Genomic DNA, 12,235 nt, shown 5'->3' with positions numbered 1-12,235 from the left:
CCTGGGATGCCTTGTTTAGCCTTTATGAATTTCCACGAAATTACAAAAGTTGATTAAATACTACCTGAAGAGAAAAAGGGACATCTTCCCAGCAGTGAAAACAAAAATACACTATATACATTATTAAAACACTAGACTTTTCCCTTTTGACTGCATTACTGAGATGGAAATGAAGAAATCATTTGTCTGAAGATCTAGGGATCAGGCCTTGGGGTCTGATATCAAAGGAGCAGAGTTCAGCTCAAATAAGGGCAATTTTCCATCAGTCAGAAGAGCCCAGGAACAGCAGACTATCCTGGGAGGTGGCAAGTCCTCTATAAAGAGGAGCATAATAAAAGTCAGAGGAAGAGAATAAGACCCCACCTGCAAAGATGCCCTACACAGAGGTAAGGGAAGAGAGTTGATCTTTCCACCTTGGGCTTGTCTTCCCTTTCTTGTGCAGGGTGGCCACATGCCCAGGTTTGCACAGGAGAGGCCTGGGGTACACCTGTTGTTCTGGCAAAATTCGCAAGACTCTCTCAAAATTCTCTTACTGTCAAAAGTTGAACCACAGATTACATGTTCGCCCTACTCACAGGAGGCATCTGTGACTTTGAAGGAATAGGCCTTAAGCCATGCTGGTCACAGAGCACAGATGTCCATGGCTCTCATCTCACTCAGAAACAGGCTGCGCAGAGGTGAATTCACACATTTTACAAGGGTAGGCTCAAACAGACCCAAGTCACTGAGAAAGCCAATGGCAGAATGTCATTTAAAAAAAATTTTTTTAAACTAAAGGCAAGCAAAGGACTTTCCTGTGTAACACAGGCCTACAGTCTATTTAGAAAGGGTCTCAGTTCTTCACTTTTAATCCATCTCTGAAGCAGATCCAGGCAAGGACTTCATCCAACCTCTGCATGCAGATTAAAGCCAATGCTTGTGTTGGAAACCAACCCTGGAGTTGCAGACATTATCGGAATCATCCCTCTAGAGGATTCACTCGGCAAACTTAGAAAAGTCCAAGTGCTTTGTGGAACCAGTGGGGGGTATAAATGAACAAAGACAAAGAGCCAGATGCCACTCCTCCAGTGTACGCCTCTCCCAGCTTCCCTTCCTCTGCACATCAAAGTGAGATCTTCTGTACCCACTAACCAACAACTCCCCAATCTTCCCTTCCCGGGCTCCTAGCAACCAACATTCTACTTCCTGTCTCTATGATTCTGACTACTGTGGGCACCTCATATAAGTGGAATTATACAGTGTTTGTCTTTTTGCATCTAGCTTATCTCACTCAGCACTATGTACTCAAGGTTTACCCATGCTGTAGCATGTGACAGAACTGCCTTCCTTTTTAAGCTCTTTCACATCTGTATATCACATTTGGTTATCCACTCAATCATCTATGGACACTTTGGTTGTTTCTACCTTTTGGCAACTGTAAATAATGCTGCTATGAATGTGCACATAGGTGTACAAATATCTCTTCGAGATCCTGCTTTCAGCTCTATTGGTTATACCCAGAAGTGGAATTGTTGGATCATACGGTAATTCTATTTTTAACTTTTGTGGAACTACCATACTGTTTACCATAGCAATTGCACCATTTTACATTTTCACTAACAGTGCACAAAGGTTTCAATTTCTCCACATCCTCATCAACATCGGTTATTTTCCATTTTTTAAAATAATAGCCATCCCAATGGGTGTGAAGTGGTATCTCATTGTGGTTTTGATTTGCATTTCCTAAGTCAAAGTGAGATTTTTGCACTAAAAACAGGTCTAGCACAACCAAAGAATGATTTTTTCAGTAAGTAAAAAACACTAGCGCTCTCAAAAAGCCATGTTGCATGGAAGCATATTTTCCCTAACATCCTTGTGATAAGAACCTCATGAAGCCCATTCCATTCTCATTCTGTAAACCAAGAGGTTCAGAACAGACATGCAAACATCAGTGGCATCCACATTTCTTATCCCAAGCAGGTTTTAACAATCCCGGGAAAACCTTGGCCCCAAAGTCAGAAAGAGAGCTTAAAAAAATCTATTAGGTACCAAACGGTATTTATCTATAAAGAATGCTATTGTGAAAATAAGTCTTTTTTTTTTTTGAGACTGAGTCTCGCTCTGTCGCCCAGGCTGGAGTGCAGTGGCGCGATCTTGGCTCACTGCAAGCTCCGCCTCCCGGGTTCACGCCATTCTCCTGCCTCAGCCTCCTGAGTAGCTGGGGCTACAGGTGCCCACCACCACGCCCGGCTAATTTTTTGTATTTTTAGTAGAGACGGAGTTTCACCGTGTTAGCCAGGATGGTCTTGATCTCCTGACCTCGTGATCCGCCTGCCTCGGCCTCCCAAAGTGCTGGGATTACAGATGTGAGCCACCGCGCCAGGCCTGTGAAAATAATTCTAAGTGAGGGCAAACTACTAAATAAAACCTCATATTTGTCCCAACACCTAGGATTGGTCACAGAAGCAACAAGTTGCCTTCTGCACATTCAAACTTGCCTGCTGAGCCCAGTGTCCACCATCAACACGTGCAATCCTTCTGCACCACTGCTCACTGTTAATTCATTAAACAAAATACAAATAAAAACACTGCAAAATCATCTACCTGGGCTTTGCTTCAAAATAATCCAAAGGGTTGGGCAGGGGGATACAAATCAAATAAGCTAGATGGTGGGAACATGGAGTTCATTTTATTATCCTACTTTCATATTTTCTCCATTTAAAAAAAAAGAAAACTTATCTGAAGAGGTAAGGGCTTGGGCATTCCACTTTATACATTTTCAGCAACCTGAGGCAGACACTAGGCAGCTGAGAGTGCTACATCACAAGGAAAACACTGAGGCTTAGCCAGGTCACTCAGCTCAGGGAGGCCCTGGGTGCCCAGAGCCAGCCCGGCACCCTCCTGCTACACCGTGAGCTTCCCAGAGGTCTGTGCGCCCATCTCAGGCCTCACCCCATTTGCCAGCTCCATTGCAAATGAAGACTGCACATCACTACCAGGAACCCAGTGGGGAGGGTCCAGCAGCTTCCCCCTAGGCAAGGCACTTGGCCTCCCACTCTTATTTCCCAACCAAGCTCTCTCATGTTTGGTCTTCCTGACTGTTCCTGTTTGTTCCTTCCTGTTCTGCCCCAAGGCACACTAACTGAAAAATGATTAACTTTCAACACACATTGCCAAATCTGCAAAAGCCCAAAAACACTGCAGCACCCTTCAACCACCAAGCAGACTTGCTACCATGCTGGATTCATGCACTCCACTACTGGAATATAGTGCTGCAAACGTGTTACTGGGCAAGTTAGTAGAGCTCCCTGATGTCAAAAACTCTCTCCTGAAACCCTCTGAAGAAATGAAGATACCAGGGCCCTCAGCCACAGCAGTAGTGGGAGAGTGCTGCTCTAGCTGCAGAAATCAAGATGAGAGTTGGAGGTTGAGGCACAAAGCCAAGCAGCACACCCACAGAGAGGAGCAACTGGGTGTCCAAGTGCACAAGTGACAGACTGCCTGCCTAGCCCAGCGAACCTCCACCATATACTTGCCTGGGGGTGCGGGATGGTGGAGGGGAACACCAGGTAAGGCCAGAGGGCTCTCCAGACAGGGAACAATGCTGCTCTGAGAAGCCATACATCATGAGGATGGAGCATGGACTCCCGCATTAAGAGGGACCCAGAGGCACCACATCAAATATCCAGCAATGCCCTATTCCAGGGACAATGATGCAGATGTTGGTGCAAAGTTATCGGACCACAGGAAAAGATGTGGGCTAAAAGACCAAGCCATTGAATCCCACCTTATTTCTCTAGGACAGAAAATCCCCAAACATACTAAGATAAATCACCAGGAGATGAAGCTGTAAAATCAAGCTTGCAAGGCTGAGAAGGCTTAGTAAGTCTGCCTTGTTTTCAAGAGTTCCAGTCCCCATAGGAGATGCCAAATCTGCAGTAGAAGCAAAATGTGACATCATGGCCACTCATTCTGTCCTTCTTTCTCCACCTACCCCCACACAGATATTCATAAACTATGTTTAATGGTTTTCAAAGACTCTGTGCATGATCATGTCCCCAGGCCCTCCTGCACAGAATCAATGTCTGCCTCTCCCTGGACCAATCCCACTGGCAATAAACACATGCTATATCTCCCTTAATCCCTTGACCATCTCCAGCCAGTGTCCAAATTTTTCTTCTCCTCTTTAAGGCAAGCATCCTTGGAAGAACTGTCAAGAGTCATCCCCTTCACTTCTTTACTTCTCATTGGCTCCTCAGCCGACTCCAGCTGGGTTTCTATCCACCCGCCCAGATCCCCTACCCAGAGCTCACAGTGGTCCCGTCAACATCAACAACCTCCACTTTGTCTAAGCCATTACCAATGTCCTGTCCTCATCCTTCTTCACCTCCCTGCACCATGGTTGACTGTGCCTTTCTACTTTAAAGGCTTCTACAATACACAATCTCCTGGTCTTCCCTTTACCACAGGCCACTCGCTCTCAGCCAACTTGGGAGTGGGTTTTCTTCCTCGACCCAACCTCTAGCATCCTAGGGCTCAATATTCAGACCTCTCCTCTTCTCAGTCAACACACCCATCTTCCATGCTCTCATCTGGTCCAGCCCTTCCTCTGATGGTGGTTGGCCAAGACTTCCATCTCCAGGACAGTCAACGACAAAGGAAATAGTATCTCCCTGAGGCTGGCTATGAGATAACTTAAATGTACCCCTTCTACCCCAAATCCCATCTCAGAACCTGGTACCACCATCCATCCCCTCACTCTGCAGTCACTACAAAATCAGATCACACCACCCAACTTACAAGCCTTCCAATAATTATTTAAAGCAGTAGAAAGTAATTCCAACTATTTATTGAGACCTGTATGATCCTTTGTGACCTGAATCCTGCATGCCTCTGTCCCCACCTGTGTCCCTTCTCCCACTTACTCAGCTCCAGCCACATGGCCTTCTGTTTGTCCTTTGCACACACAAAGCTCATTCCTGCCTCAGGCCCTTTGCAGCTGCCATTCTGTCTATCTGGAGCATTCTTCCCCAGACTCCTGCTTGGCTGCCTCTTCATTAGTACTCAAGTTTTCAGCCCACAAGTCACCTCCACAGAATGCCTGTCCCTGGTCACCCTATCCAAGGAGCTTCTCCCTCACTGTCCTGTTGCTCAGGAGGCTAACATGGCTCTTGGTTACACATAAGCACTACAAGGATAAGACTTTATTGCCCTTGTCTGTTATCACCTCCCAGAACCTAAAACAGGGCCTGGCCCATAGTCAGATGCACACAAAGTACCTTGCTGCTGATGTCTCATTGGGGCACTCCCAGGATCGGAACAGGGGGCAGGTAGGGGAGACAGACAGGCATCTGGGCCAGAGCCCCAAGGCTTCCTGAACCCCCAAGGCTGGGTTGGCCTTACTCTGGCTTTCAATCACCTCGGCCTTTGGCCTTCCCCCATCCCCACAGCTGCAACTGGTTCTGTGAGGGTAGGGGTCACTGACCCTGCCCACCACCTTATCCCAGAGCCTTACATAGTGTCTGGCAAATCAAGAGTGTGTGGAAAACCATAATTTACTGAATGAAGGACTAAACAAGGGAATGTGGCAGCTCTCATCCACTTACCCAGAAGATGATGTTGTAGCTGAAAAGGAGGTACTTGTACCAGCAGCTGACCTTGGCGTTAGAGTATCTATAATAGTGCATCTTCTGAGAAGCAGAATCTGCGGAGAGATGTGTGACTAGTGAGATGGCAGGCTCAGCGTTAAAACCTTTCCCCCAAACCAGCTCATATGCGGATTCTAGAAAGCTCCCGATCATTTCCCTCATGACCCTTTACTGGTCCAAGCAGAGGCCTGATACCAAGGCCAGGTATAGGTAATGCAAAACTCAGGTTAAATCAGCTCTCCAAAAGACAAACGAAAGGATAAGGGAGATTTTTGAAAGGAAGAAAGATGCTTTTTAAGTGTCTTCTAAGTACCAGAAATTCGGCTTGGAGCCTTCCCAAATATTGATCTCATCACCTCTCGATTGGGAATTGATTTTTTTCCACTTCATGGTTGAGGAAACCATTCAGAAAGGTCACATGACTTGCCCAAGGACAAGAGAGCAATGACAGCCCAGGATTGGAACCAAGGACAGGGGACTTCACAGTCCACGTTCTTTCCACCCACCAGAGCCAACAGAAGAAACGGGCTTGACCACAAAGAGCCATGTTTGGGAGATGAACGTGCAGGCAGGTCTGGACATGATCCAACTGTGCCCAGTGAAGAAAAGCCAAGATGAGGACTCCATACTCATTCATGCAACATTTTCTGAAAACCTCTGAAGCTCAGCCCTCAGAGGTGAGGAAGGCCACTGCAGCCAGCAGCCATCCCCCTGCTCCCTCCCTCCCCTGTCACTCGCCCCCCACTCCACCTCAACCCAGACTATAGCCATAGCTTTGTCCTCCAGGGCTGTAATGAAGCTTGGATTACACAGCCTATGTGGGAAGACCCTGTGAACTACAGAGTGAAGGGTGGGGCCACTGTTTTTTATCTGTGTCTAACCCTCAAAGCAACCTCAGAGATCCTACTGCAGGAGGGTGCTATTTCCGAGGGACTTTTCTGAGGGCCTGGCCTACCTTTGCTGCTTTCCTTTTTGAACCCCAGTGGCAATCCAGGTGGACCCCGAAGTCCTCCACGGTCCCCTGCCCCCAATGCAGTGGCTGAACAGTGGGGAAGGAGGGAGTGCCTCAAGTGCACAGGTAGGGACAGGATCAGAGGCCCGTAGGGCAGTGGTCCCATGCCAGCCCCCTGCTCACCCCCCACTTCCCAGGTGAGGAGAGTAACACAGCCCAAGGCGAAAGGAGACAAGGCCACCCTAGAGGTGAGGAGGCGACCCACCCACATCCGCCAGTGAGAAACCAGCTTCCACGGAGTGGCTACTTGCAAAACCCCTTCCTGTGAGGCAGCCACGGCAGGCTGGCTGCTGGTCTGCAATGTTCTGAGAAAGAAGTGCCAAGAAGGGACATGAAACCACACTCCTCTGGAAACGGAACCTGTGACCGCTCCACCTCTCCCACGGTGTGGAATTGACGGGCACAGCCTAGACACCACCACTCACCCACCAGACCCTCCTTCTGTCTGACCTCAGAAACCAGCTGGGGAGAATGACAGGCAGACGGCTACCCAGCTGCCCTATCCCCACCTCCCCCCTACCACCGCCCCACCATCACAAGAGCACATCCATAAAACTTGCCTCCAAGAATGAGTGTGAACACAACCACCTGTTGCCCAAGGACTCTACAGGACACAAGGACACACACAAGGCCTGAACACTGTATGGGCCAGAGCGGCTGCAGGGAGAAAAGCAGCTCTCAAGGAAGAGACACAGGCGCCTTCCTTCAGCAACATGACCTCAGCCCATGCAAGTCCCTGCTCTCTCAGGACCTCAGCATCCTCAACTAAAGTGGGGCTTTTAGTGACCTGCTCCAATGTCACTGGCATGAGGGTCCTGGCTGGCAGCATCAGAATCACTTATTTTAAATACAGATCCCAGCCCCCAACACAAGGTTCTGGTAAGAAGGTCTGCGTTGGAGCCTTGAATCTGCATTTCCGACAAGTCCCCCACCCCCGCCCCCACGGTGATACTGACATGCCAGCAGACCCATGCCCAGCAGATCAGGTATCAGCTTAGGCACTGAGGGCTGCAGCAGTCCCCTTGGGGATCTTACAAGGTAGACGGGCCTGTTGAGCTGTGGTGCAGCACACGGATTCGCAGAGAGGGGCTCCGTGTAGGCAACTAACCTAACGGTAGCTATAACTAGCATTCACCAGCTTGTTTCAAATTACAGGGTCCCAAAGCACTGGGTTGGTTTGTTAATTTTTTGTGTAGGTAGAGATAGGAGTCTCACTATGTTATGTTGCCCAGGCTAGTCTCAAACTCCTGGCCTTAAGCAATCCTCCTGCCAGGGCCTCCCAAATTGCTGAGATTACCTGCATGAGCCACCACACCCAGCCAATGGTTTGACTTTTTAAATTGTTCTTTTTTTTCCCTTCAGGGGAGGGTTGGGCTACCCAACCATAAATCCATGTCTGGATTAATGCATATAGGATGAAAAAAAATTTTTAACCTAAAACTCAAGTACATTTATCACAGAGAACTGTCAATTCAGCTGGAAATGCCTTATGAGGCAGAAAAATGTTCTAAGCGGTAGAAACTCTATTCTTTTTTTATGGACAAGACAATCCCGCCTCCTCTCTTCCTCGTGGTTCCCAGAGGAGCCTGGAAAGTAGAAGGCTGTGCCCTCCAGGGAGCTGGGCCTCAGGAACTAAGGAGGGCTGGTGCGAGCCATGGAATCCAATGCCTTGGGATCCTACAGAGTGCTCCTTTGACCTCATTTAACCCAACCCTGTAAAGAACTCTCCGGAAGCAGTAAGAAAAGCCAAACTTCCCCCTTCCTCCTTGATGAAAGCTCCACAAAGAAACCAGCTCATTAGCAAACGTGTCTGTGTGCTTTCCACAGTGTTGGTGGCTCACCTCTGCTCCCCTGCCCGGGGCCTTTGCAAAATGACTGTCCTGTGGCAACACAGGGAATCTCAACCTGACGGTCCCTGGTCTCCTGCAGCTCACACCCATAAAGTGTACAGAACATGGAAAGGCTACAGGGAACACTTCATGGGGATGCAGTTGGCAGGAAGGCCAGCGCTCTGGAGCAAGGATTCTCCACAGGGCGCCTGGCTTCCCTCACCATCTGCTGCTTCACCTTCCACCCAACACGCATGACCAACCAGGGAACAATTCTGCCTTCAGATGCTGGGGTCCACACCTACACCCGTCAGAGACTCTCACAGCCACGTCCTAAACTCCAAGCCCTCACTTCCCCCCTGGTAACATCAACACTCGAAACTACACTAGGGGCCACACTGCGGAATAACTAGGAAGAAACCCTCTCTCATCCAAGAAGAGGTGTGCCACACCCAGACAACGTATCCTGATGCACGTGCCACTTACAACCCAGAGCACATGCACCGCCAGTATTATGCCATTTTTGGCCATTTTTGTACAACCCAGGATAACCCCATGAGGTCTAGGGGTGGGGCTGTCCCAGTGACACTTTTTCCCCCATCCTCAACCCACAGAAGAGGAAACTATTGCAATAAACTGTTGAAAAGAAACATTTCAGTTTTCCTTCTCCGCTCCCCGCTTTCCCACCCCTGCCACCCACCTAACCTCGGGACAGGGAGGGAAGGCACCTCTCAATCTGTCCCTCTCTGCTGTGTTGGCCAGCGGGTTGGAAAGCAGGTCCTGACCCTCTGTGGGGCTGGCAGATCCTGGTCTCCACATAGTTTAAGCTGAAGAAGGTAAATGGGAGACTCATTAGGACTCCAGCCTAAGCCACATCCTCCTACACAGTGTAAGGTGGCCTTCTGACTGTGGAGGGGTAATGATGGAGCTGCACAACAGGTATGGCTCGGAGGCTTCAGAACCCCAAGGGAGGAAAAAAGGACTGAGCGCTCCTGAGCCACCAACGGAGCTACTAGGGCATTTACACAAAAATGCAGGAAGGCTGATAAAGGCAGTAGTGCTGAAACTAGAACCCAGATCTGACCCAAAATGATTCCCAAAATGACCATGGTCCCTAGCATCTCACCTCATTTGCTAAACCACATCATACTGAAGGAAGGCAGAAGTTAGCCCTCTATGAGCAGATGCATCCACAAAGAACACCAACACTCTTTATCTTACACACACACACGCACGCATGACTAAGAACCTTCCTAAAAGTAGAGATGGGTAAACTTTTCACAAATGTTAGGTACCATTCCAGCAGAGAAGAATCTCCAAAAGCTATTTTGTGTGCCTAGAAAAAAAATTAGGATCTCAAACTGTCTCAACTCTAAGAATGTGATAGAAAATAAAGCATCAGTGTGGCAGGAAGGAGGCACATGTTTATCAAAATACCAACTTCTCAAAACAGGGCAAAGGGAGAATTGTTTAACAGTAGTGAGATAACTGGTTAGCAACTTGAGGGGAGTTAAATAATAAGCAAATAACAACTTACAGATTTAAAGGGCATATGCACATACATGCACACACCACACCCAGAGAACAGGGTTTTCAAGTCCATTTTACCCACCTTCAACTTTTGAGGCAACAGGAAAAAACAATTCAAAGCACAAGACTACCAAGCCTGAACAGATAACAAATCTAAAAAATCCCCATGAATAAAAGTAACATTAAAATAAAAAAGGAAACACAAATGTTATCTGCAGCTGAAAAAATTATGACACAGTAAATATCTGCAACCTATAGAGACCCATACTTCAAAAAGACCCCCGTTGTACACAAATGAACAAAGGATATGAACATTATACACAAAGGAAAGAATAACAAAGGGAAGAATAACGTAACAAATGGAAAAATAAGCCTGTGCAACAAGGCCAAACACCATCTCTACAAAAAGTACAAAAATTAGCTGGGTGTGGTGACTGAAGTCCCAGCTACGTGGGAGGCTGAGGCGGGATAATCGCTTGAGCCTGGGAGGTCCAGGCTGTGATGAACAGTGATGACACCACTGCACTCCAGTCTGGGTGACAGAGCAAGACCCGGTCTTTAAAAAATAAAAAAATTTAAAAAAAAGGAAAAATTTTCAATGTCACTAGAAATAAAACTTAAAGACAACCCAGATATACTATTTTACACTTTTTTTTTTTTTAAACAAGTCCTGCTCTGTTGCCCAAGCTGGAGTGCAGTGGCGCACTCAGCTCACTGCAACCTCCGCCTCCCTGGTTCAAGTGATTCTCTAGCCTCAGCCTCTGGAGTAGCTGGGACCACAGGTGCATGCCACCAGGCCTGGCTAATTTTTGTATTTTTTGTACAAACGGGGTTTCATCATGTTGCCCAGGCTGGTTTTGAACTCCTGAGCTCAAAGCAATCCGCCCACCTTGGCCTTCCAAAGTGCTGAGATTACAGGCGTGAGTCACCGTGCCTGGCCTATTTTACACTTTTTTTTTTTTTTTTTTTTTTTTTTTTTTTTTTTTTTTTGAGACAAGAGTTTTGCTCTTGTTGCCCAGGCTGGAGTGCAATGGTGCAATCTTGGCTCACTGCAACCTCCGCCTCCCGGGTTCAAGTGATTATCCTGCCTCAGCCTACTGAGTAGCTGAGATTACAGGCGACCGACACCATGTCCAACTAATTTTTGTATTTTTAGTAGAGACAGGAGTTTCACCATGTTGGCCAGGCTGATCTCGAACTACTGACCTTGGGTGATCTGCCCATCTCAGCCTCCCAAAGTGCTGGGATTATAGGCATAAGCCACCATACCCGGCCTACTTTACACTTTTTAATTTAACAAAATTGCCACCACTATTGTGGCAAACACATTTATTCCTTGTTGGCAGCAGATGAAACGGTTACTACCATTTGGTAGCAATATGGTTACATTTACCACCCAAAAAAAGGTCACACCCTTAATCAATAAACTAATGACTAAGAATTTGCCTCCAGAAAAAGAATACACATTAAGTGAAACATGAACCTCATGGTTTGCAATTATGAGACAATTTGTAAGCATGTGCTTAAAGGCCAAAGTGGAATGTTAAGAGCATGAAAATGGCTGCATGGGGTGGTGGTGGACTTACAAGTGATTTTCCAAAAAGGTTTCCAGCATCACACTTACCATTACCACCTTTGTATTATAAATGAAAATGGGGCCGCTGCTGGTTGGAGGTGCCCCTGCTGGGAAGGAGAATGCTTGCTACAATATATAAGGCTGGCAGTCATCATAAACAGGGCTCCTTGGCTTCAGTGTTGTACTCACCTTTAATATTCCTCCCTCCTGCCCTTTTTTAAATTAAAAAAGTAGCACATTCTCAACTGTAAAATATCTCAACAATTCATAAGTGTGAAAAGTGAACTGGCTGGCTGGGCAAAGTGGCTCACGCCTATAATCCCAGCACTTTGGGAGGCTGAGACAGGTGGATCACCTGAGGTCAGGAGTTTGAGACCAGCCTGACCAACATGGTGAAACCCCATCTCTACTAAAAATACAAAATTAGCCAGGCGTGGTGGCTCACGCCTGTAATACCAGCTACTCGGGAAGCTGAGGCAGGAGAATCACTTGAACCAGAGAGGCGGGGGTTGCAGTGAGCCGAGATCGTGCCATTGCACTCCAGCCTGGGCAACAAGAGCGAAACTCCGTCTCAAAAAAAAAAAAAAAAAAAAGGAAAAGAAAAGTGAACTGACAATGAGAAACCACTAAACAAGGGTTTTCAAATCTTATCACAACCCAT

At 47.4% G+C, this 12,235-nt stretch overlaps 1 protein-coding gene across 9 annotated transcripts in view, besides 2 other annotated features; it reads right to left on the bottom strand.

Annotated features, from left to right (window-relative positions):
* The window catches only part of TSPAN14 (tetraspanin 14), a 68,322-nt gene that overhangs the window by 27,732 nt on the left and 28,355 nt on the right, over positions 1–12,235 (bottom strand). For all 9 annotated transcript variants that reach the window (NM_001351267.4, NM_001351268.2, NM_001351266.2 and 6 more), the window contains one exon: positions 5,586–5,683. In NM_001351267.4, coding sequence (NP_001338196.1) covers positions 5,586–5,666 — 81 coding nt within the window. In that variant the 5' untranslated portion in view covers positions 5,667–5,683. The remainder of the gene's footprint in view (positions 1–5,585; positions 5,684–12,235) is intronic.
* Positions 2,853–3,147: an enhancer, noted in NCBI's record as "tiled region #2609; HepG2 Activating DNase matched - State 5:Enh". NCBI's record gives its function as "activates a minimal TATA promoter and a strong SV40 promoter by Sharpr-MPRA in HepG2 cells {active_cell/tissue: HepG2}" and the evidence as "EXISTENCE:reporter gene assay evidence [ECO:0000049][PMID:27701403]".
* Positions 7,075–7,174: a silencer, noted in NCBI's record as "silent region_2547". NCBI's record gives its function as "represses an Ori minimal core promoter by ATAC-STARR-seq in GM12878 lymphoblastoid cells {active_cell/tissue: GM12878}" and the evidence as "EXISTENCE:reporter gene assay evidence [ECO:0000049][PMID:35858748]".

Source organism: Homo sapiens, chromosome 10, assembly GCF_000001405.40.
Source record: "Homo sapiens chromosome 10, GRCh38.p14 Primary Assembly".
Classification (NCBI taxonomy): domain Eukaryota; kingdom Metazoa; phylum Chordata; class Mammalia; order Primates; family Hominidae; genus Homo; species Homo sapiens.
This window is presented reverse-complemented; position numbering and strand designations above follow the sequence as displayed.